General features: G+C 42.7%; 1 protein-coding gene across 1 annotated transcript in view, besides 2 other annotated features; it reads left to right on the top strand.

The window, feature by feature from the left end:
* The window catches only part of GLDC (glycine decarboxylase), a 113,263-nt gene that overhangs the window by 54,439 nt on the left and 33,508 nt on the right, over positions 1-25,316 (top strand). Inside the window, exons 12-15 of the mRNA NM_000170.3 lie at positions 1,999-2,096; positions 2,589-2,673; positions 2,849-2,890; positions 4,008-4,150. Of these exons, the coding sequence (NP_000161.2) occupies positions 1,999-2,096; positions 2,589-2,673; positions 2,849-2,890; positions 4,008-4,150 (368 nt within the window). The remainder of the gene's footprint in view (positions 1-1,998; positions 2,097-2,588; positions 2,674-2,848; positions 2,891-4,007; positions 4,151-25,316) is intronic.
* Positions 188-482: an enhancer, noted in NCBI's record as "tiled region #10661; HepG2 Activating DNase matched - State 5:Enh". NCBI's record gives its function as "activates a minimal TATA promoter and a strong SV40 promoter by Sharpr-MPRA in HepG2 cells {active_cell/tissue: HepG2}" and the evidence as "EXISTENCE:reporter gene assay evidence [ECO:0000049][PMID:27701403]".
* Positions 23,894-25,093: an enhancer, noted in NCBI's record as "P300/CBP strongly-dependent group 1 enhancer chr9:6566198-6567397 (GRCh37/hg19 assembly coordinates)". NCBI's record gives its function as "activates an origin of replication core promoter dependent on BRD2, BRD4, P300/CBP, MED14 and CDK7 cofactors, with strong dependence on P300/CBP, by STARR-seq in HCT116 cells {active_cell/tissue: HCT116}" and the evidence as "EXISTENCE:reporter gene assay evidence [ECO:0000049][PMID:35650434]".

Genomic DNA, 25,316 nt, shown 5'->3' with positions numbered 1-25,316 from the left:
ATCTAGACCAAGATGGCACAAGAGGGAAAGGAAGATGGGTCCGAGTGTTCTAGACACTGGAGAAAGCAGTCACAAAGGCTGGGAGAGGGAGTACATGAAAGCTATAAGCAGTTCAGTGTAATGAGTTGCTTTCTAAAATAATGAAGTAGTGGGGGAAAGCAAGAGAAAAGTTACCATTCCATGGGATGAGAGTGAAAGAGAGCCGACAGTAGCTACCTAGACCTGTGGCAAGGTGTTAATCACAACAGCCTACACTGCCTGGTGTGTATTAATCACTAAGTAAATATTTGTTAAATGGATAGATGAAAGGAAGTAGAAATACCTTCCAGAGTGCTGAGTGGTGCTGTCTTGCTTATCTGTGCCCTCTTTGAGAGAGGACTTCAAAGGGTTATACCAGATAACATTCATAAATGATCAAAGAAGCATCACAGTGTTCTCTTTTAAACCTCAATTAAACAGGACTGAGTTAGCTCCTTCTCTGTAGAACTCTGCACTAAATTTAATCACAGATATTTGGTTCATGCATTTGAGAAATGTTTCTGGAGCATCACTAAGGGGTCAAGAGGGCCATTATTTTAGTTCATTTGCATTGGAGTACCTGAGGCTAAATAATTTATAAATAAAATAGCTTTATTTGGCTCATGTTTCTGCAGGCTGTGCTGTGCAAGAAGCGTTTGCTTCTGGTGAGGGTTTCAGGAAACTTCCTCTCATGAAGGAAGGGGAAGAGGAGCAGGCATCACATGGCAAAAGAAAAAGGAAGAGAGAGAGAGGAGGGAGGTGCCAGGCTCTTTTTAACAATCACTTCTCATCAGTTCTCATGGGAACTAGTAGAGTGAGAACTCACTCATTACTGTGAAGACAGCGCCAAGCCCATCTTCAACACTGGGGATCACATTTCACCCTGAGATCTGGAGGGGACAAGTATTAAATCTGTATTAGTCATATTATTAGCCTGGCAAGGAATGAGGATCAAGCCATGTATTGATTATATATTCTGGATATTAAATCCTTATCAGATATATGACTTACATATATTTTCTTCCATTCTGTGGGTAGTCAGTCTCTTAACTTTCTTGATAATGTTCTTTGATGCACACACATTTCAAATTTTATAGAAATTTAATTTATCTAATTTTTATATATGTTTATTGTTTATTCCTTTGGTGTCACATTTAAGAAACCATTGCCAGATCCAAGGTTATGCAGATTAGCCCCTATATTTTCTTTTTTTTTTTTAAGATGGAGTCTTGCTCTGTCGCCCAGGGTGGCGTGCAGTGGCATGATCTCAGCTCACTGCAAACTCCACCTCCCAGGTTCACGCCATTCTCCTGCCTCAGCCTCCCGAGTAGCTGCGACTACAGGCACCCGCCAACACGACCGGCTAATTTTGTATTTTTTAGTAGAGACGGGGTTTCACCATGTGAGCCAGGATGGCCTCGATCTCCTGACCTTGTGATCCACCCACCTCGGCCTCCCAAAGTGCTGGGATTACAGGTGTGAGCCACCGCGCCTGGCCTATTTTCTTCTAAGTTTTAGTAGTTTTAGCTTTTAAATTTACATCTTTGGCCAGGCTCAGTGGCCCATGACTGTAATCCCAGCACTTTGGGAAGCCAAGGCAGGCAGATTGCTTGAGCCCAGGAGTTTGTGACCAGCCTGGGCGGCATGGTGAAACATCGTCTCTAGAAAAATACAAAAATCAGCCAGGTGTGGTGGCATGCACCTGTAGCCCCAGCTACTCAGGAGACTGAGGTAGGAGGATTGAGCCCAGTAGGGCCAAGGCTACAGTGAGTTGAGATCGTGCCACTGCACTCTAGCCTGGGTGCTAGAGAAAGACCCTGCCTCCAAAAATATTAAATAAATAAATAAATAAATAAATAAGTAAAATTATATATTTGATCCATTTTGAGTGCTTTGTGGCCCAGCCACCCAGAAGCCTGGATGTCCACATGTGGCTCCAGGCACAGTTCTGGCCCTATCATCTCTGTGTTTCTCCTTCAGGAACTGGTTGCTGAAAGCATGGGAGAGGAGTGCAGAGGTATTCCAGGGTCTGTGTTCAAGAGGACCAGCCCGTTCCTCACCCATCAAGTGTTCAACAGGTTTGTGTGTCTTGTGTGACTTCTGCGTTTTGTGCTTTGGTAATCAGCTAGGGAGTTAGGCAGAGTGCTGCTGCTGATTTCGCCTGCTGTGGCCTGGTTATTCTGGCTCAGCCGTGGCTCCCAAGTATTTCATCCTCATAACGATCCCGTTCCTGACTTGGGAAAAGCACACTTTGTTTCCTGGTGGCTCTGCTCCCTTGGCAGTCAGGAAGCAGGGATGAATAATTGCCAGGCTGAAGTTCACTCCCAAGAGCCCTATATCCTCTTCTTCCCAACCTTCAACTCATACCCACAGTCAGCTTCTTGTCCAAGACATCCTCTGAGGTTTGTGGGGGTCTGTGCCCTTCTCTCTGAGTGTAGTTGACATATTGTCCGTGGCCAAAATTGATCTGCATTTTGAAAGTAGATTTCGGTGTGTCTTATATGTCAGGAGGATGTGCATGGACTCATATCTACTTTTGGGGCCCCTAATTCTGTGTTTTGTGTTCACAGCTACCACTCTGAAACAAACATTGTCCGGTACATGAAGAAACTGGAAAATAAAGACATTTCCCTTGTTCACAGCATGATTCCACTGGTAGTTATTTGTGGCCTTTTTTCTCATTTCCAAGCTACCCCAATCCCACGTCTCTTGGTCCTACCTAATATGCTCCAAGAGCAACAAAGGGGTGGCCATGCTGGGAGAATGGAGGGTTGATTGATGGACTATAGAAAATCACTAATGTGATACATTTTGGATGTTCTTCTTAAAGGGATCCTGCACCATGAAACTGAACAGTTCGTCTGAACTCGCAGTAAGTAGCTCACTTCTGTAAGTGGATACTCAGCAAGGGGCAGTGTTCTAGCTTCCACCTAAGCCCAGAACTAGTGAAATCTACTGGGACTGTGATTCTGTGATTGAAGAACTATTTTAATAATTCTTTACCTTGCTATTCACCAATCTTGGGAGTAACCCTGTATTTCTCACGACTTCATCATTTAAATGTATGGGTAAACTTATTATTTTTTAATAAAATTAATTAAATGTATATGGTATTTATGCCTTTCTATCCTATCCCTCCCCCACCCCCACCCCCTTTTAAACCTGTCATATTAAAAGCTTTTTTAAAAAAAATTGTTTATAGTTCTAAATCTCAGGTAGAATTACGAACCTTAAGCCGTCTTTCTAGAAATCATTCCTGTATCAGAAAGATAGGGATTCAAGTCAACAGAAGATTTGTGCAACTCGCTGTTGTGGTTGGCAAGTATCTCTACTAGGCCAGGATCCATTTTAGCGAAGCTTTTTTTTTCTTTCTTTCATTTCTTACGTTTATTCTGAAGTGACATATCATATCAGACGAAAGAAATCATTTTATATCATGATAAGAATATTTCCCTCTCTATTTTTTTAAAAAATAGAGTCAAGGTCTTGCTGTGTTTGCCAGTCTGATCTCAGACTCCTGGCCTCAAGCAGTCCTCCCACCTCAGCCTCCCAGAGTTCTGGAATTATAGGTGTGAACCACTGTACCTGGCCTTCCCATTTACTTTTGTGTTTGTTTCTTGTTCCACTTAGTGAAGAAAGAGAACAATCTATTGCTATATAAGAGTTTATGCCAACCATACCTGAAGCAACTCATTGTGTTTCATGGAAAGAAATCTGTTTTGGGGGCTTTTCTTCCCTGAAAAGTTAGCAAAACATTGTATTTTTGTGTAAGTTCCCTTTTTGGACAACTATGTCCCACTTTTAAATGAAGACAGTAACGGTACTTACCTTATAAGGTTGTGGTGGAACTTAAATAAATTAACATATGTATAGCGCTTAGAACAGTGCCTGGCACATAGCTTTTCTCATCATCGTCATTATTATTAAAGTTATTATTGCTATTGCTATTATAATATGTATATATGCATTTTTGTTTTCTTTCTTTTCAGCCTATCACATGGAAAGAATTTGCAAACATCCACCCCTTTGTGCCTCTGGATCAAGCTCAAGGATATCAGCAGCTTTTCCGAGAGCTTGAGAAGGATTTGTGTGAACTCACAGGTTATGACCAGGTCTGTTTCCAGCCAAACAGGTAAGGGCATTTCTTTTCTTATTGTTTCAGCAATCTATTCTTGTATAGCATACACCACAAAACTTAAAGGCTTAGAACAACAACTTTTTTGTGTTATTCTGTGACTTGCTAGACAGTTCCACTCCACTGGGGAGAGCATGGCTAGAAGGTGCATCGTGTTCTCCCTCACATAGCTGGTGAGGAGCTGTGGGCTGGGAGTGCATTTGAGGATGTTCACTAGGGCCATAGTTTTTCTCCATATGGGGCTTTCCTTGTAGTTCCTTGAGCTTCCTTGTTCCTTACAGCACAATGTCGGGGTTCAGAATGCGTGTTCCCAGATGAAGCATGGAGAAGCTGCAAATCTCTAATGGCCGAACCTCCTAAGTTACACTGCATCCCTTCCAGATTAGTCTATCTATTAAAGCAAGTCACGAGGCGAGCCCAGATTGAATCGGGGAGGGGACAACACCTGGGTGTGAATTTTGGTAGATGTCGTTCATTGCGGACTGTCTTTGGAAGCTAGCTTACTACACCTGTCAGTGACACAGCATAAGAAGAAGGATCAAGCACACATGCTGAATTCCAACAAGTGTCTCAGTTTAGCAGGGCCAGGAGAACCTGGATCCTGCTTTGGTAATGTCACTAACTTTGAAAGGTCCCTTCTCCTCTTCCAGCCTCAATTTCTTTGTAAAGGAAAGACTTTGAAGAAGAACAGTGATTTTCAAAAGCAACAGCCTCCAGCAAAATCTCCTGAGCACTTGTTAAAAATACAAACTCCGGGCCCCGCTCCAGACGCACTGATCATAACCTCCAGGGGGTGAGACTAAGACTCTTTATTTTTATTTTTATTTATTTATTTGTTTTTTTAGATGGAGTTTTGCTCTTGTTGCCCAGGCTGGAGTGCAATGGCGTGATCTCGGCTCACCGCAACCTCTGCCTCCTGCATTCAAGAGATTCTCCTGCCTCAGCCTCCCGAGTAGCTGGGATTACAGGCATGTGCTACCACACCTGGCTAATTTTGTATTTTTAGTAGAGATGGGGTTTCTCCATGTTGGTCAGGCTGGTCTCTAACTCCTGACCTCAGGTGATCCGCCTGGCTCGGCCTCCCAAAGTGTTGGGATTACAGGTGTGAGCCACCACGCCTGGCCTAGAATCTTTATTTTTAAGACAAGACCAAGTGATTCTAATACACAGTCAATTTGGAATCCCCTGGATTTGTGGTCTCTCTGCCTTCATGATGATAGATGACAGATGGACCGATGGACAGATGATAGATAGATAGATAGATAGATACATACATACATACATACATACATACATACATACATAGATGAATGATAGATGGGCAGGAATCATGTTATCGGTATGTGAGTTTACATTTTAGAATATCTTTAGAAAATGAGTTATGGTATCTGCCCCTAGGTTCTTCACCTCCTGCTGCTCAAAGTATAGTTCTCTACCAGCAGCCTCAGAGTTGACCCCTCTGGGAGCTGGTTAGTAATGCAAAATTTCTGTTTCAAGATGCCCTACCTTCTGTTTTGTAACATAGACTACACAGCAAAGCCATTTACTTTGTAAAAACAATACACCCTATAAAATACAAACCCTTTGGGAAGAGGGTATGTGGCAATGAAAGGATACAGTGCTCTCAATTGCGTCTTAAAGTCTCACTTCATAAATAGGTAGGAGCTGATAGCATGAAAGTCAAGCTTTAGTATACCTTCTTTAGAACTTCATTACTTATTTTTGTTTTGTTTTAAGAGACAAACCTCAGTGAATTCTGAACCTTGAGTCTATGATAGTTATTAAATGTTGAAAATTAAGAAATTTCGCCCTCTAGTGACGGAATATAATCACATTTTCACTGTCATATTGGAGAGTGATTTTTCAAGACTATTTTAATTCTGGTTATTAGCTCTTGCAGTAAATTGTGATCCCAGCCAGGATCCCAGAAGACTGACCTAAGAATCAGGAAATTTGTCTTCTTAAAGCAGTGGTTTACAGCCTTGGCTAGGAATTAGATCCCATGGTGACTTTATAACATCCCTGATGCCCACATCACAATCCCAGATTGAATCATAATCTCAATGGAGAATGACTGGGGTGAGGGAAGGGACCCAGGCGTGAGTATTTCTTTAAAGTTCCCTACATGATTCCAACTGCAGCCAAGGTTGAGAACCAGTGTCTTAGACATTTCTCCGCTGTTTTTCCCTACATACCTGGTGTTCTTTCTTTGTCCTAATTTTTCTCATTCATATGATGGACAGTGAGACTCCACACCCTATCCCAATCTTGCAGAGGGTAAGAGATCTTCATCATGATGTCGTTCCTGGCAATGATGTCTTCTCCAGTTCCTGAGATTCCCAGCTATACCATCCATTTCCAAGAGCTGATTTGAGCATGGCAGGGGCTTTGCACAATGTTTAGGCTTAGATAAAGGAATGAAGGATGTTTCTGGTCATGAGCAGAAGCTGCTGTGACAGATGAGAAAATGCCTTATTCTTTGTTGAGAAAGTACAAGGGCCATGCTTCTGGTGAGTAAAGCAATTTGATGTCTTAATTCGCAGAAAAAAGGAAGGGATACACCACATATTCCATATATAAGTGATTTTTTTAACCTTGTTTCAATCCTATTTTGGCTTATTTGTGCTAATCTCTGCACAAGTGGGTGACACATTTCTTGTCTTATAATTATTCTGTGTCTACAACAGGGCTTACATATTGGCTAATTTGTCATGATTTACTGCTGGCTAGAGTCCAGTGAAATCTAGGGGACCTATATGCACGTCACATTTTTTGTAAGAAGAAACACAGGTTTCTTGACAACTCTGCACAGAGGGAGAATTTCGAATACCATGTCAGCCACTGATGTTATACTCAAAATAGCAGGTGCAGTCACAGGTGTCATCAAGGAACCATTTCCTGGTAATTTCATTTATACCTGACTAATTAGAGTCAGTCAATGTGTCTGTAGAGTTCTGTAGTCACAAAAAGTTTTGAATCTGAATGTTTCCTTTCCCTTTCATTATTGTATGATATTTCAGATATAACCATAGCATAATTTTTAGGAAGTAGCCTTAGTAGTATTTCACAACTCTAAAGTATTTTTTATTGTGGTAAAATATACATAACACAAAATTTACTGCTTTACGTATTTTTAAGTGTACAGTTCAGAGGCATTAAGTATATTCACACTGTTGTACAGCCATCACCATTATCCGTCTGAGAGCTTTTTGATTTTCTCAAATTCAAGCTCAGGACCTGTTAAACAGTAACTCTTCGGTTCCTCTTTCCCTTTTTCCCTGGCCCCTGGCGGCCTCCATTCTACTTTCTGGCTCCATGAATTTGACTACTTTAGGAACCTCGTATAAGTGGATCATACAATATTTGTCCTTTTGTGTCTGGCTTATTTCACTTAGCATAATGTCTTCAAGGTTCATCAATGTTGTGGCATGTGTCAGAATTTACTTCCTTTTTTCTTTTTTTCAGACAGGGTCTCATTCTTTTGCTCAGGCTGGAGTGCAGTAGCAGGATCTTGGCTCACTGCAACCTTGGCCTCCCAGGCTCAAGTGATCTTCCTGCTTCAGCCTCCCGCTTAGCTGGGACTACTGGCACGCATCACTATGCCTGGCGATTTTTAAAAGTTTTTGTAGAGACAGGAGTCTCACTACATTGCCCAGGCTGGTCTGGAACTCCTGACCTGAAGTGATCCTCCTGCCTTGGCCTCCCAAAGTCCTGGGATTACAAGCATGATCTCCTGCGCCTGGCCTACTTCCTTTTAAGGTGGAATATTTCATTGCATATATATAGCACATTTTGTTTATCCCTTCATCAATTGAGGGACACTTGAGTTGTTCCATCCTTTCGGCTATAGTGAATAATGCCACTTTACATTGATGTACAAGTATCTAGTTGAGTCCCTGCTTTCAGTTTTTATTTTGGTATATATTCAGAAGTGGAGTTTTTGGATATAGGGTAATTTTATGTTTAATTTTTTGAGGAATCGCCGTACTGTCTTCTGCAGGGGTTGCACCATTTAACATTCCCACCAGCAGTGCACAAGGGTTCTGATTTCTCCACGTCCCCCACCAACATTTGTTATTTTCTGTTTCCTCAAGTAATAGCAATTCTGGTAGGTGTGAAGTGGTATCTCACTGTGGTTTTGATGGACATTTCCCCAATGATTAGCAATGTTGAGCATCTTTTCATATGCTTACCATGCATTTGTACATCTTCTTTGGAGAAACGTGTATTCAAGTCCTTTGCCCATTTTTTAATTGGGTTTCTTGGGAGATTTGTTGTTGAGTTATAGCAGTTCTTTTTTTTTTTTTTTGAGACGAGGTCTCGCTCTGTCGCCCAGACTGGAGTGCAGTGGCGCGATATCGGCTCACTGCAACGATCGCCTCCCGGGTTCACGCCATTCTCCTGCCTCACCCTCCCGAGTAGCTGGGACTACAGGCGCATGCCACCACACCCGGCTAATTTTTTGTATTTTTAGTAGAGACAGGGTTTCACCGTGTTAGCCAGGATGGTCTCGATCTCCTGACCTCGTGATCCACCCGCCTCGGCCTCTCAAAGTGCTGGGATTACAGGCGTGAGCCACCGCGCCCGGCCCAGCAGTTCTTTATATCTTTTTTTTTTGAGATGGAGCCCTGCTCTGTTGTCCAGCCTGGAGCGCAGTGGCGCCATCTCGGCTCACTGCAGCCTCCACCTCCCAGGTTCAAGTAATTCTCATGCCTCAGCCTCCCGAGTAGCTGGGATTACAGGTGCCTGCCCCCGTGGCCGGCAAATTTTTTTGTATTTTTAGTAGAGACAGGGTTTCGCCGTGTTGGCCAAGCTGGTCTCAAACTCCTGACCTCAGGTGATCTGCCCACCTCGGCCTCCCAAAGTGCTGGGGTTACAGGCGTGAGACACCATGCCCGGCTTTTTTTTTTTTTTTTTTTTTTTGAGACGAAGTCTTGCTCTGTCGCCCAAGTTGGAGTGCAGTGGAGCAATCTTGGCTCACTGCAACCTCCGCCTCTCAGGTTGAAGCAATTATCCTGCCTTGGCCTCCCAAGTAGCTGGGATTACAGGTGCCCGCTACCACACCTGACTAGTTTTTGTATTTTTAGTGGAGATCGGGTTTCACTATGTTGGCCAGGCTGGTCTCAAACTCCTGATCTCAGGTGATCCTCCTGCCTCAGCCTCCCAAGGTGCTGGGGTTACAGGCGGGAACACCACGCCCAGCCTATATGTTCTAATTCCTTATCAGATATATGATTTGCAAACATTACCTATCATTCCATGAATTTCCTTTTCACTGTTTACAGTGTTTTTTGATGCACAAAGGCAACTCTAAATATACAATAAATATAAAGGATTTGCACCTTATCTAGCATAATGTCTGTGGCCTTCTCTGGTAAATATTAGCTTTTGGTCAACCTGGATAGTCTAACCTTTATCCACTCTTAGTCCATTTTTATTTACATTAACTTTTTCATTCCTACTATTCATGATCTACCATGGTGCAATTTAGATTTATATTCTGTATTATCTGCCTTGACCTGACCCATGAGAGCGACATAGACCCTGACTGGAGAGGAGGCCTTTGCACTGGAAATGCTATGTTATTGACCCAGATACCAGTTGGCCCTGAATGCTGGTAACTGTCTGTCAGAGACGCCACTATGCCTCTGGTATGCTTGTGTCTTATTTGGGGTTTCCCAAAATCAGACCCTGAAACAGGAACTTCAGTACAAGAAGTTTATGTGGTTGCTGATCCCGGAAAGCACAGTGGAGAAGTACAGAGGTGAGACAGGGAAGTGAGGAAAGCTGGAAAAGGTTGTATTAGTGACCAGGTTATCACCATCACTGTATGGGATCCTAGAGATCAGTCCCATTGGGGGCACTGAGGGAGACTGGATGGAACATGCCTCCGATTTGTCCCAGTGAAGAGCTGAGGAAGCCAGAGTATTTACCAACTGCTCCTTCGTTGCCCGGGAAGGACTGAGAAGCTGGAGTTAGCAACACTTGTTCTTCATTTGTTGAAGGCTTCACCCCGGGGGCCTTAACCCCTCAATACTTGAGGCTTGATAGTTATGGGCTGTCTTTCAACCAAGAACGTGCCTGGCAGAGAACACCCTCAGGTGGAGAGGCAGAGATGCTTGAGTTCATATACGGTCATTTTATGTCGGAGCTGTCCACAGAAGCTGGAAGTAAGCTTCAGGATGAAACAAAGACCTGTGAGCAGCACAATGATCCTGTCTGCTACAGGTTGCCTATAGTAGGCATGGCCTTTGGCAAATGGATAATAAGTATTATATAACTAGATTAAGGAAGAAGAGATGCCAGTGCCTTTCAGGGGAAGATGGCAGCCTGAGTGGGTCCTGAATGGAGAAGGGGACTGATAGGCAGGTAGGATCAGGAAGTGTTATGGAGCAGATGGGCTTGCTGCCTGATGTGCACAGAAGCCAATAACTATGGCACCAGCTTTTGAGAAAAGAAGGGCTTTATTTATTGCAAAACCAGCCCGCAAGGAGACAAGAGTCAGCTGAAATTTCTCTCCTCTATTTGGGATCTGGGGCAAGTTTTAAGGGATCAGAAGGCAGGGGAAGGGATTTGGGAATGCTGGCTTGGCAAGGTCTAATTAGAGGGCTTCAGATTTGACAGCTTACGGTAAGGTATGCTGAGCCCTACATCTTCCGGATCAGTAGACCCCTCACTTCTGAAGAAGTTCTGGCATGCAGGGTCTGGTTCTCTTCCAGCCTTGTTGGTTCCGAGGGGCGGAATCCCTGGTTCTGGGTGTCGTTAGAAGTCAAAGCTTTTTCTATTGCACATTCCCAGACTACATGACTTGCAACTGTGGACTCTGTTATAAGGTAACTCAACATTTTGTTATCAACAGAACAGGCCCAGTGTGGGCTGGTCCTGCAATTATAGAAGCAGAGAGCCTGCAAGAGTCAAGGAGCCCTAGGGTGAGGGTAAGAGTTCTTTGGGGCCTGAAGAGAACTTGGCTTATGGAGATCCACAAACCCTGAGACGAAAGGCAGTTGTCTGAAGGAATGTTCCTGGGTCGAAGGTCTCTCTGGCCTTCAGGGTGCTTCAGGGGAAATGAAGAGTGGGGCCAGGTCTTCCGTAGTTCTGAGACTGTGTGGATTCTAGCCTTTGTAGATGAGGAGATTCTCCCAGTGATGCTCCCACTGCCCCCAACAGAGGACTGACAGCTTGCAGACTGGTTCTGCTGCTGAAGATGTTGCAGCAACCTGAACTCAGCCCTAAGGGTGAATGGAGCCGTAGCCAGCAAAGGGAAAATTTTAGTTGCACACTTCACTGGACCCAGCAACAGAGAGGAAGCACAGGGAGAGTGCTCAGAACAGGTTGCCCGGGCAGCCAGCGTTATAGGCACTGGCGTGAGGCAAAGTCAGCTAGTTATAGCAATACAACTTCGATCTCAGAGCTGGCTGACATTCAGTATTAAGTAAAAAGGACATTCTGCAACTAAAACCATGAGTTTCAATTTTAAACAATCAGGACTGGGCACGGTGGCTCACAGTCCCAGCACTTTGGGAGGCTGAGATAGGAGGATCACGTAAGGCCAGGAGTTTGAGAACAGCCTGGGTGACATAGTAAGACCCCATCTACAAAAAAAATAATAAAATTATCAAATAAATAATCAGGATGGGATACTCTTGAAAACAAAATTAGTGACTTGGAAAGGTACTTGGAGGAAATATTCCAAAACAAAAACCCAAAATATACAGATTAAGGCTGTGAGGGAAAAGTTAAGGAACTCAGAAGACAGATTCAGAAGATTCAGCATTTGGGGATGAGAACATGGAAGAGTTAATTAATATTCATCTGAGGAAGTGAAAAAAAATTGTATAACCAAAATGATGGTAAAAAATGAAATGATTAAAGATAAAAGCTAGAATGAATGACCTAGAAGATAAAATAGTCACAAGGATTAATAAATACAAAAACTGATTATTTGAAAGATCCAGTGAAATCAGTTAACTCTTTTCTTGCCTAAGGAAAAAATATATATATACAAATAAGAAATGAGAAAGAACATACCCAGATATAGATAAGATCCAAAGAATTATAAAGGAATAGTATATGCTACCCTGTGTCAACAAATTTAAAAACATAGAGAAATAAATGATTTCTTAACAAACATTTAGGAACATAAGGGCATGTTGAAAACAGATTAACAGAGGCTGATCACATGGAGTGAAACTAGAAATAACAGAAAGATGAGCAAAATTCACAAATATGTGGAAATTAAATAACACCCTTATAAATAACCAGTGGAACAAAGAGGAATCACAAGGAGAACTGGAAAGTACTTTGAAGCCAGGTGCAGTAGCTCATGCTTGTAATTGCAGTACTTTGGGAGGCTGAGGCAGGAGGATCACTTGATCCCAGGAGTTCAAGACTAGCCTGGGCAACATAGCAAGACCTCATCTCTCCAAAAAAATTAGCCTAGCATGGTGGCAAGCACCTGTGGTCCCAGCTACTTTGGGGGCTGAGGTGGGAGGATCACTTGAGTCCAGGAGGTTGAGGCTGCAGTGAGCCATGATCACGCCACTGCACTCCAGCCTAGACAACAGAGTGAGACTCTGTTTCTAAGAGAAGAAAAAAAGAGAGGAAGTACTTTCCAACTAATTAAAATGAAGATACCGCATATCAAACATCACGGGCTGTAGCTAAAACAGTGCTAACAGGAAAGTTTATAGCTGTAAATAACTACATTAAAAAAGAAGAAAGAGCTGGGTGCCATGATTCATGCTTGTAATCCCAACACTTTGGGAGTCTGAGGTGGGAGGATCACTTGAGCTCAGGAGTTCAAGACCAGCCTCGGCAACATAGTGGGACCCTCTTTGTACAAATTAAAAAATTAGCCAGGTGTGGTGGCATGCATCTGTGGTCCCAGCTGCTTGGGAGGCTGAAGTGGGAGGATCACTTACACCCAGAGGTCTAGGCTGCAGTGAGCCATGTTCACACCATTGCACCCCAGCCTGTGACAGAGCAAGATCCTGTCTCGAAAAAAAAAGAAGCCTGGACCAGATAGTGAGACTTAGTCTCTACAAAAAATTAAAAAAGTAGCTGGGCACAGTGGCGTGTTTCTGTAGTCCCAGCTACTCGAGAGGCCGAGGCCAGAGGATTGCTTGAGCCCAGGAGGTTGAGGCTGCAGTGAACTGTGATGGTGCCGCTGCACTCCAGCCTGGTTGACCCTGTTTTAAAAAAGAAAAAAGAAGAAAGATCTTAAACCAACTTAATCTTCCACCCTAAAACAACAGAGAAAGAAGTACATTAAGCTCAAAGCAAGCAGAAGGAAGGAAAGAATCAGGATTCGAGCAAAAAAAAATCAATAACGTAGAGATGGGGAGCAGGAGAGGAGGGGAATTATAAGAAAATAAAATATAGTGAAATAAAATTTAGTACAACAGATGTTAGCTGCGTAAAACTGCGTGTGTGTGTGTGCACAGGGGCATAGGTGGAAAGATGTATGAAAGGATGGGACTCAAACAGTTGTCTCTAGGTGGTAGAATATCAGGTGATTTTACTTTTTGTCCTTATGTTTTTAGATTATTTAAAATTTTTAAAGCCTTGATCATATGTTATTTAGTCAATTCAAAAAAGATATTTTTATGGTGGAGAACATGCGTATTGTGAAACAACTAAATGCATAGTAAGTTGGTTATAGGCTCATTTGCACCTGGTTCTCCTGATCTCAGAGGGTTCCTCCATCAGCTGATGGATATGGGATAAGGTTGGCTTTGAAGCTTGCCCTGGGGCTGGAGGCAAAACATAACCACCTCCATCTGCCCTAGCGGCACCTCTATCCTAATAAATACAGTGAGGTAGTCTCCCAGGGCACCCAGTTCAAACTCTGCAGAATAGGATAATATTTAACATCAAGTGGACTCAGAATACAACTCTCTGGTTCTCAAATGACCAAGTAGCAGAATGAAATGTAACTTTCAGGCCTGCATCTGGATTTCTCTGCGTGTGGCGCTGCTGGCTCTGCCTCATCCTTGCTGCTGTGCCTTTCCGCGCTGTCTTCTCATCCAGGGCATTTCTGTGTTATGCGCACAGAAGGCTTTTGTTCTTTCTGCAGTCATTCCCTGCCCACATATATGCTGCAGCAGGGACCTTTCTCTTTGGTGAATTTTCTTTCTAAGAGAGAATTCATCAGCTCAAGGGAAAGGTTAGGATCTAGAAAATGTGAGGTTTTTAAGGCTCTGTTATGTGGCTTCCTACCAAGTCATGTTGTAGGTTTCTCTAGCAACAGAAAAGTGAATGAGATTTAATTCAGGAATAGACAGTCAATATGGATCATAAAAAGGTTTTATAAGTGCTATAGATTGAATGTTTGCATTCCTTCAAAATTCACCTGTTGAAATCCTAACTCCAGGCCAGACGCGGTGGTTCACGCCTGTAATCCCAGCACTTTGGGAGGCCGAGGCAGGCGGATCACCTGAGATCAGGAGTTTGAGACCAGCCTGGCCAACGTAGTGAAACTCCATCTCTGCTGCAAATACAAAAATTAGCCAGGTGTGGTGGCAGGGGCCTGTAATCCCAGCTACTCGGGAGGCTGAGGCAGGACAATTGCTTGAACCTGGGAGGCAGAGGTTGCAGTGAGCCAAGATCGCACCACTGCACCCCAGCCTGGGCGACAAGAGTGAAACCCCATCTCAAAAAAAATAAGAAGAAGAAAAAAATAAATTATAACTCCAAGGTGACGGCATTAGGAGGTGGGAGCTTTGGCAGGTAATTAGGTCATGAGGGTTGTACAATCCTGAATGGGATTAGTGCCATTATTTTAAGAAAGACCCCAGAGAGCTCTTTACCCCTTCCACCATGTGAGGACACAGCAAGACCACAGCTATCTATGAACCAGGAAGTGCGCCCTCACTAGACACTAAGTCTGCTGGCTTCTAGGATCTTGGACATCTCAGCCTCTAGAACAATGGGAAATAGCTTTCTGTTGTTTATAAGCCACCCAGTTTTTGGCATTTTGTTATAGCACCTGGATGGATTAAGACAATAACCATAAATTTTGTCAAGATAACTTTGCTTGATGTAGCCAAGCCTTCACTGGTCTGCCTAGTTCCTTAGGACATTTTGATCCCAAGGGTGTTTGAAGGGCCTGAAAGAAAAAATGTCAAGAAGCTTATCCCTATTTTCTCCTATTTATTTGTTCTACCCATAAACCCCGGGGAGGGTTTCCAGCTTGGTGTAGAAAACAGCCAAATAATATTTAATTACCTTTTCATTTCCCACTGAGCCCAGCGGGGCTTGCTTCAGCTTTTTCTCCATAACACTTTGCCACTCTTCAAATCATTCAGCAGCTCATAAGTACATTCTAGGAATTGCTAGTTTAGAATTATGATGTGATGTTTAAGGCAGACAGAAAGAGTAATTAACACCTCCCATGGATATGTAAAGTGAAAGACAAGTTGGAATTATTATTAGCTCACTTGGCTTAAAAAATTGAGGAAGTTGTTTTTGTCCTTAAAAACTGCAAACTGTGATTGTTAATGTAGACGGAGGTGGCCATTGCTTTTCCCAGAATCTCCTTCATGGGAAGATTCTTAAATTGTGGTGTGAACAGGGCTCTCAATGGCTGTCAGAATTAATTGTGCATGAGAATCACCTGGAGGGCTTGTGCAATTACTGAGCCTCACCCTACAGAGTTTCTGATTCAGTAAGTCTGGAGTAGGGCCCCAGAATTTGCATTTTTAACAAATCCCCAGGTGATGCTGAGGCAGCTCGTTTGGCCACCAGCCTGTGAAAACCACTAGGTTTACCAGAGGTTCTTGGACCTGGCTGCATGTTAGAATTACCTGGGGAGACTTTTGAAGAACACAGATGCCCTACCTACTGCACAAACCAGTTACATCAGAATCTTCGCTGGGGATGGAGCCCATATGGGAGAGTTTTGGGGTTTGTTTTTTTTTTTTTTGCTTCTTTTGAGATGGAGTCTCACTCTGTCGCCCAGGCTGGAGTGCAGTGGCATGATCTCAGCTCACTGCAATCTCTGACTCCCGAATTCAAGCGATTTTCCTGCCTCAGCCTCCCAAGTAGTTAACCGATGCTACAGGTGCCCGCCACCACACCTGGCTAAGAAGTGGGAGAGTTTTTAAGCAAAAAACTCTCTAATTCTAATGTGCATCACTGGGTTGGAGAGCAATTTGGCCTGGAGGAACACCAAAGAGAAAGGTTTAGCAAGATGGATGTGGCTATCATATGCATATCACAAATAATTTAGTGCAGGGAGGGTCAAAAGCCCACTATTTGCCGTCTCCCTCCCCTCCCTTCCTGAGCTCATGGTTGACATCACTGATCATTTCTGGTAAGTTTTCCACCGAGCCTAGTGCAGCTTCAGAAACAGAGTACTCTGGGGGCCAAATATGAGAGACCTGTAAGCCCTCTCTGATTTCCCAAAGAAACAGTCAGAATGCCAGGAAAAAAGCAGGGTGAGGGATGAGGAGAGCCGTCTTTCGGGAAATGTAAAGCAGTGAGAAGGAACTCCTCTTTCCCAATTTCCTTAACTCTCAAGAGTATATTTTGATTTTTGAAGTTTGTTAGACTTTAGGGCAGTGGTTCTAACATTGGACTGCACCCCAGAATTTCTGATTCAGTATTCGTGGAGTGGAGCCTATGAATTTGCATTTCTTTTCTTTTTTTTTCTTTTCTTTGTTTTTTTTTTTGAGACGGAGTCTTGCTGTGTCGCCCAGGCTGGAGTGCAGTGGCATAATCTCAGCTCACTGCAACCTCCACCTCCCAGGTTCAAGCCATCCTTCTGTCTCGGCCTCCCAAGTAGCTGGAATTACAGGCACCCGCCACCACGCCCAGCTAATTTTTGATTTTTAGTAGAGATGGGGTTTCACTGTGTTGGCCAGGCTGGTCTTGAACTCCTGACCTCAGGTGATCTGCCTCCCGAAGTTCTGGCCTGAATTTGCATTTCTAACAAGTTCCCAGGTGATGTTGATGCTTTCTATTGTCTGGGAACTAGACTGAGCGTGAGAACCACTGCTCTGAGGCGCTCTTCTGATACCAGCTGATTTATCTACGTTTTTTGACTAGATAGCAAAGGTTAATTATGGAACTAAACTTATGTCAAATTGATACAGATTGGTAAGAACATTACAGAGTGTTGTGTTGAGGGGTTTTGATTTTAAATCCATAGAGATAGAGACCTGGCTAACGTTAGGGTACTTGAGACATGCAGTACATGGAGTTTCACTGGTTAAAATCATACCGTTTGCAAGGTATTTGTACTGTTAAATTGTTAGTCACCTGTTTTTTCCACCTGGTAGATAGGAATCTGCACCCATTTTTCCCTTATTTTCTTGAGAGTGGTCCTCTGAAGGTGCCATGAACTGAAGTGGGTCATTTCGACAGTGGTTGTTAGGATCACTTTACTGCCATCATTTTTACCGTATCGGTTTCTTAGCTGATGTTTCACTTGCATCGTTTTTGTTTCTCAACGTAAAGGAGAGTTTGGATGAGGGGAGTCTGACATCAAAGATGTCCAACACCAAACCCTTACGTATCACAAGCAACTGTGAAGTATTTCCTTCTGGGGGGTGACACTGGGTAGGATGGATGGGGGTCGCTTTTTTCTTCTTCTTTTGCTTTATAACCCTTCTGCACTGATGATGGATTTTTTTTTAAAAAATCACATAAATGTATTCTTTTATTTATTTATTTTTTAAGATAGAGTCTTGCTCTGTTGCCCAGGCTGGAGTACAGTGGCACGATCTCAGCTCACTGCAACGTCTGCCTGCCGGGCTCAAGCGATTCTTGTGTCTCAGCTTCCCAAGTAGCTGGGATTACAGGTGTGTGCCACCACACCTGGCTAATTTTTGTATTTTTATTAGAGACAGGGTTTCTCCATGTTGGCCAGGCTGATCTTGAACTCCTGACCTCAGGTGATCCACCTGCCTCCACCTGCCTCAGCCTCCCAAAGTGCTGGGATTACAGCGATTCTTGTGTCTCAGCCTCCCTAGTAGCTGGGATTACAGGCGTGAGCCACCATGCCTGGCCCACATAAATGTATTCTATCATAAAAATTTTAAGTTCACCTGTGAAATAGATAGCATTATGTCCACGTGACAGATGGGATCCAGAGGAATAATTTGCTTGGAGCCAGACAGCTTTGAAAAGGGCAGCAAATAAAAAACAACTTTGATATTAGAGGTGAGAGAAACTCCCGGGTGGCTGCAGGAAATACCTGTTTGTGAGATCTGCCTGGGAATGAGTGACTTTAACATGATCTTGTTGTAGGAAACATTTAACAGTATGTGCCACCTAAGGGCTCCTGTTTGCAAACAACAGAAAATGGCTTGCATTAACTTCAGCAGAAAAATAATTTACAGGGAAGTTATTGGGCAGTTCACAGAGTTGATGGAAAAGCTGGAGAATTAGACTTCAGCAGTGAGTAAGACCCAAGAAAGGCTGGCAGCAGAGAAGAAAATGGAGTCTCACCATGCGAAGAGTCACCATCTTCACTGTGGGAAATATGGAACTGTCCCATTCCTTTGGTCTGTCCATCCAGATTCATAATGTCCTGGCTGGAGTATTGCACAGGATGTTTCACACCTCCATGTCTTATTAGTGTTTAGTGACTGGGAATGTCTAATCCTTTTTGCTTTCATAGGGGAGTGTAGGACCGTGTCTCTCCCATAGACTCACACAAAAGAGGGAATTCCCCCAGATAATAAAGCCACTGAAAGGCTCTGCATTCCCACACACACCTCTAAACTCAGCACCAATGAAAACCCAGTTGATTTTCAACATCCTAATGTAACCCTCCTTCGTACTTTTAAGCACATTGACAGCATGTCCACATGTCATTTTCCCAGCATCATTTTCTGAATTGCATTTGTACTTACTGCTCGTTGGCTATGGTAGTTTGCAGATACTTTCTCCCGTTCTGTAGCTTGTCCTTGTAACCCTAATGGGAGCAAAAAGTTTTTAATTATGATGGAGTTCAATTTATCAATTTTTTTCTTTTATGAATTGTGCTTTGGGTTTCAAATCTACCCTAGATCCCAACAATTTTTATTCTGTTTTTTGTTTTTCCCAGAAATTTCATAGTTTTATGTTTTACATTTAAGTCCATGATCCATTTACAGGTGATTTTTATATAAGCTGTGAGACTTAGATTGTGCCTATGGATGTCTAAGTGTTTCAGTTCCATTTATTGAAAAGGCGATCTTTCCTCCATTGAATTACTTTTGCAACTTTGTCAAAAATAGTTGGGTATATTTGTTTGGATCTATTTCTGGATTCTATATTCTATTCCATTGATCTATGTGTGATCTCTGTGTACATAGGCTTGATTATTGTAGCTATATATGATAGTCCCCACTTATTTGCAGTTTCAGTTACCCATGGTCAACTGGCTCAAAAATATTAAATGGAAAATTTGAGAAATAAGCAATTCATCCTAAGTTTTAAATTGTACACCATTCTAAATAGTGTGATGAAACCCTGCAGCATCTTGTTCCATCCCACCTGGGATGTAAATCAGCCCTTTGTCCAGCATATCCACTGTGTATATGCTACCCACCCATCAGTCACTTAGTAGCTGCCTTGGTTACCAGATCAACTGCTATGTTATCACAGCGCTTTCAAGGAACAGTGAAATCGTACAGTGGCACGATCTCACTGCAATGTCTCATTGCAAGGAACCCTTATTTTATTTAGTAGTGTACCCAAAGCACAAGAGTAGTGATACTGGTATGGTGGTGTAATTGTTCTATTTATTCTTAGTTATTGTTGTTAATCTGTAACTGTGCCTAATTTATAAGTTAGATTTTATCATAGGTATGTATGTATAGGAAAAATCGTAGTACACCTGGGTTTGGGTGCCATCCATGGTTTCAGGCACCCACTGGGTGTCCCGGAAGATATTTCCTGCAGATAAGAGGGGGCTACTGTTAATAAGCCTTGCCATCAGATGAACTGATTTGTGCCAGTTTCTTTCTTTTTTTTTTAAAAAAAGTAGCTATTCCAGTTACTTTGCCTTTACATATGCATTTTAGAATAATCTTGCTTGTGTCTATAAGAAAATCATTATTTTGGGGGAGGATGATGTATATTTTAGCTTCTAAATGTTACATTTTGTACAAAGGGCTGTATGCTGGATGCTATAGATATTATAGGTAGTTGAAGGGAACAAATTCACCTCATATTTAAACTTATAATTTATCACTCATAAAATAAATATTTTTCATGAAAAGGTATCATTTTAAATGTAATAAAATATTTTTTTTAAAAACATACCCCGAGAAACTTTTTTTTTTTTTTTTTTTGAGACAGAGTTTTGCTCTTGTTGCGCAGGCTGGAGTGCAGTGGTGCGATCTCAGCTCACTGGAACCTCCACCTGCTGGGTTCAAGTGATTCTCTTGTCTCACCCTCCTGAGTAGCTAGGATTACAGGCACCTGCCACAACGCCCAGCTAATTTTTGTATTTTTAGTAGAGACGAAGTTTCGCCATGTTGGCCAGGTTGGTCTCGAACTCCTGACCTCAGGTGATCTGCCCGTCTCAGCCTCCCAAAGTGCTGGGATTACAGGCATGAGCCACCATGCCTGGTCAAGAAACTTCTTAAGAAGTTCAAATATAAGAAGTAAAATAGGTCCACTGCTTATAAATAACTTCAATGGGAACTTCACTGAAATCACACACTAAAGGTGGCCATCCGTGCACAAACTATGATGGTGTGTTAAAAACTATAAAATGATTTTCAGAATATTTAGGGAAAATTAAAACAAAAATAGATATGGTCAATCTAGATATTTAGTAATTCAAAAATATATAAATCTTAATTTCTTGGTACTATAATTTTTAAAACTTTAGAATCCACAGCGTGGTCTTTTCTTATGGCACATTTTTAACATCTTTTGACTTGTATAAAAATACAACATTCTATTTGAGAACACAAATACTGTTTTCTCCATATAATTACAATGTGATTCAGTGGGAGTTTTGGTGACTGCTGGTGTTCACCATAAATTATTACTTTAGTGCATTCTGCAGTCTTGCAAAATGGGTTTCATGTTACTTTTTGCATATATAAAAAGCATGCAGCTACAGTGACCCATGTCCAAATATTCCAAAGCAGTCACCATCTGAGAAATTGCTTATGGTGTCTATAAAGTTAGCCACGATGTTTTTTAATCCCCCCGGCCATGAGCCTGAGTCTCACTCTGTGGCCCAGGCTGGAGTGCAGTGGCGCGATCTTACATCACTGCAGCCTCCACCTCCTTGCTTTAAGCGATTCTCCTGCCTCAGCCTCCCAAGTAGCTGGGATTACAGATGCACACCACCACACCTGGCTAATTTTTGTATTTTTAGTAGAGACAGGGTTTTGCCATGTTCGCCAGGCTGGTCTCGATCTTCTAACTGCAGGTAATCCGCTCGCCTCGGCCTCCCAACGTGCTGTGATTACAGGCATGCAGGCATGAGGCACTGTGCCTGGTCTGCAACATCCATTTCTTTTTGTTTGTTTGTTTTTGTGATGGAGTCTCACTCTGTTGCCCAGGCTAGAGTGCAGTGGTGCGATCTCAGCTCGCTGCAACCTCCGCCTCCCGGGTTCAAGCAATTCTCCCGCCTCAGCTCCCTGAGTACCTGGGACTAAAGGTGCCCACCACCACACCCAGCTAATTTTTGTACTTTTAGTAGAGATGGGGTTTCACCATATTATCCAGGCTGGTCTCGAACTCCTGACCTTGTGATCCACCCACCTCGGCCTCCCAAAGTGCTGGGATTACAGGAGTGAGCCACCACGCCCGGCACAACATCCATTTCTAATTCTCAGTATGTTTGGCTAGGGTTCTTAGTAAAGGGAAAGATAAATTAATTTTTAAAATCTTTAAAATTTGTTTTTTCTTTGAACTCCCGTTCCAACCTTGGCAAAGGAACTTTTAGCTCTTCTGAACTATCACCCTCACCCTATCTCTGCCATGTCATCTACAAATTCTTTTTTTTTTTAAGTTTACATTGAGTATTGCTCCTGAACTTGCACACCTGTGATGATACACTGATACTGAAAGGGCCTGGGTTATAGTCATCACAATACTGTTGAATTCCATCAACTCCAGCTGTTTTCACCTTGTGGGCTCTTATACCTGTTATTCAGTTGTTCTACTTTTTCTGGTCTATTGAATTTCTTGTGGATTCTTTGTAGAATGAATCTGAGTTTTGGAAGAAGTTGTCTGCTCAATTTCCCCATTCTGCATTAAGCAGCAGCTCCTTAATCAGCCTGAGTAAATGCCATACACTGGAGGGTCTTGTTTTTCTTTTCTTCTTTTTTTTCTTGAGGTGGAGTCTCACTCTGTGGCCCAGGCTGCAGTGCAGTGGTGTGATCTCGGATCACTGCAACCTCCACCTCCCAGGTTCAAGTGATTCTCCCACTTCAGCCTCCCAAGTAGTCTGGATTACAGGCATGCACCACCACGCCCGGCTAATTTTTTGTATGTTTAGTAGAAATGGGGTTTCACCATGTTGGCCAGGCTGGTCTCGAACTCCTGATCTCAGGTGATCCGCCCACCTTGGCCTCCCAAAGTGTTAGGATTACAGGTGTGAGCCACCACGCCCGGCATGGAGGGCCTTGTTTTTCTAGGACAGTTTAAGCTGTGCTCACATAAACTTGGTGTTTCTGAGGCTCCCCGTTCACTGGCCAGCCCTGCAGCTCCAGACCATTCACTACTTCATTTTAAACAGATGTCAGAAAAGCACTGACCTAGCCTGTCCTCCATATATAATAGTTTGTTGATGGTTGCTTAGTCTGGGTTATGTAGATAAGCAATTATTTTTCATAAGACTTTTCTACCAACAGGTGGCACTAACAATTTGTTTTACTAATGCCCCAGTAGTAATCCTTGTGTCACATTTGAATATATCATTTGCACTTTTTGGGTTGAAACATAGCTGATTTTTATAGATGTTTAAGGCCAGAGAGAGAGAGAGAGAGAGAAATCCAGCATTTCTGATCAAGTCTTTAGCATATAGTCTTTCTCCTACACTACTGGCTCATAGCCAGTAATCTGCTTCTTCCTTCATTCCTAGTCTACACCTTGATTGGCCTTTCAAGAAAGTCAGATGAATAGAATTCATGAGAAAAACATAGGGGTAAATATAAAATGTTTTTCTTGAGGTTCCTTACTGTAGGGGAAAGGATGACATTCATATTGATTGCCTGTGCTGGAGGAATTCAATTTTTAAAATATTTACTAAATACTTATTGCAGAACTACTACATGCAGAGTACTGTTCTATATATTCCCTGTTGAAGAATATACAGAACTCTGAGAATTAGACCCTACTGTCAGAGCTTATGCTCTAATTGAGATAAGACAGGCATACAAAGTAAATGTGAAATCGGTAATAATTTTCTATGTCCAGTACATGTATAGGATATTAATGTCAGATAAGATTGTAGAGTAAAATGCTATGATAATTTGGAGGAGGTAGAGGATTATTTCTTTAATCAATCTATCAAATATTTTTTATGTCAGTGTTCTTGGAATAGAGAATACAATTGTGAACAAGGTTGACAAAATTCTTGCCTTCAGGGAAGGCCTCTCTGAGGAAGTGACAGAGCTGGATTGGTGGCTTTAGGGAAGGCTTTGCAGAGAGTTGTAGCCAGTTGAAGAATGGGCAGGATTTGGCTGAGAAGCATTTGACCTTGATGATCTCACTACACATCACATCTGCCCTGTGTGATGGGTACTGTTACTATCCCCATTTTACACATCTCTCAGGCACATAGGCACAGGGAGATGAAGTTACTTGTGATGTGAGTGGTTTCCTGAAGCACGGCATATTCATTTTCTTGTCCTCAAAATGAAAAAACCTCAAATAGGCTAGGACTTGTTTTTCAGAAGCCAGGAAAACAGAAGAGCAGTCTTTGCCTTTCTTCTTGGAAGAGAGCGGAGATAGCTGCAGCTGACTCAGTGCGGGTGACGAGGAACGGGGTGACTCAGGTCTTGTAAGACAGGCTTTCTTTCTTCTTTTCTTTCTTTTTTTTTTTATTTTTTATTTTAGCTAAACCCCCCAGTTCTATCAATCAGACAAGACTTCTGCTAGAAAGAAAATCAGCATTTGCTCCCACAACTCTCCGTCCTTGGAGAGCACAGTGTGCTCAGAAGAGCAGCACTGCTTGCAAAGGGAGCCCGTAGCTCTGGGAGGCAGGCTGACTCCACACCCAAGTCTTCATCTGTCACTGTTGGCCATTTGGCATGTAGCACTCAGACCTCAGTTTCTTTGTGTGCAAAATGGGGGTGATGGCATGGAGAACATACACATTTTTTAAAATTCTTACCGATTTTCTGTGGGTAACATTAAAAAAAGTTATTTTATTTTTAAATTTTCATTTGTTTAAAGTTTAAATTTTTGTATCTTTTTTTAGTATTTAATTTTTGCCTTCAGCTTCGCAGACATACACATTTTGAATGGGACTGATACATCTATTACTCATTTCCCTTCCCTTCCTGCACAGGGTACTGGGAACATGAAATAACAGTCTACGATTGAGTCAGCATTGCTCACCGGAATGTTAGTCATGGCATATGCCCTGAAAGTGGTGCCTTCCAGGACCGTTGAGATGAGGATGGCCAGCCCCTAACAGCCATCTGCATCCGGGGCCTGGGAGAGCCGAACCTGAGACTGCCAGGAATGGTGTCACATTAAAAGTGCCTCATTCTTTTGGGGCTGATCAGGCCCTTGACTCGATATTTGGTAATACTAAGAAATTATAGAGTGATGATTTGTTTTCACCTCATAGGTGTGTCTTCCTTAAACCTTGTTAAGATGTTGACACATTACCCATTTAAAGGGGGAAAGAAAAGGGAAAAAAAAAGGAAAAAACTGAAGTTCATTGTTCTAGGTGTGACAATTGTGTTTGTAGTTATTTATTTATTTTTTGAGACGGGATCTCACTCTGTCACCCAGGTTGGAGTGCAGTGGCACCATCTCGGCTTACTGCAGTCTCCGCCTCACAGACTCCAGTGATCCTTCCATGTCAGCCTGCCCAGTAGCTGGTACTACAGATGCATGCTATCACACCAGGCTAATTTTTTGTACTTTTAGTGGAGACACTGTTCCGCCATGCTGCCCAGGCTGATCTTGAACTTCTGAGCTCGAATGCTCTGCCCACATCGGCCCCCCAAAGTGCTAGGATTACAGGCATGAG

The sequence above is a fragment of the Homo sapiens genome, chromosome 9 (genome assembly GCF_000001405.40).
Source record: "Homo sapiens chromosome 9, GRCh38.p14 Primary Assembly".
Lineage (NCBI taxonomy): Eukaryota > Metazoa > Chordata > Mammalia > Primates > Hominidae > Homo > Homo sapiens.
This window is presented reverse-complemented; position numbering and strand designations above follow the sequence as displayed.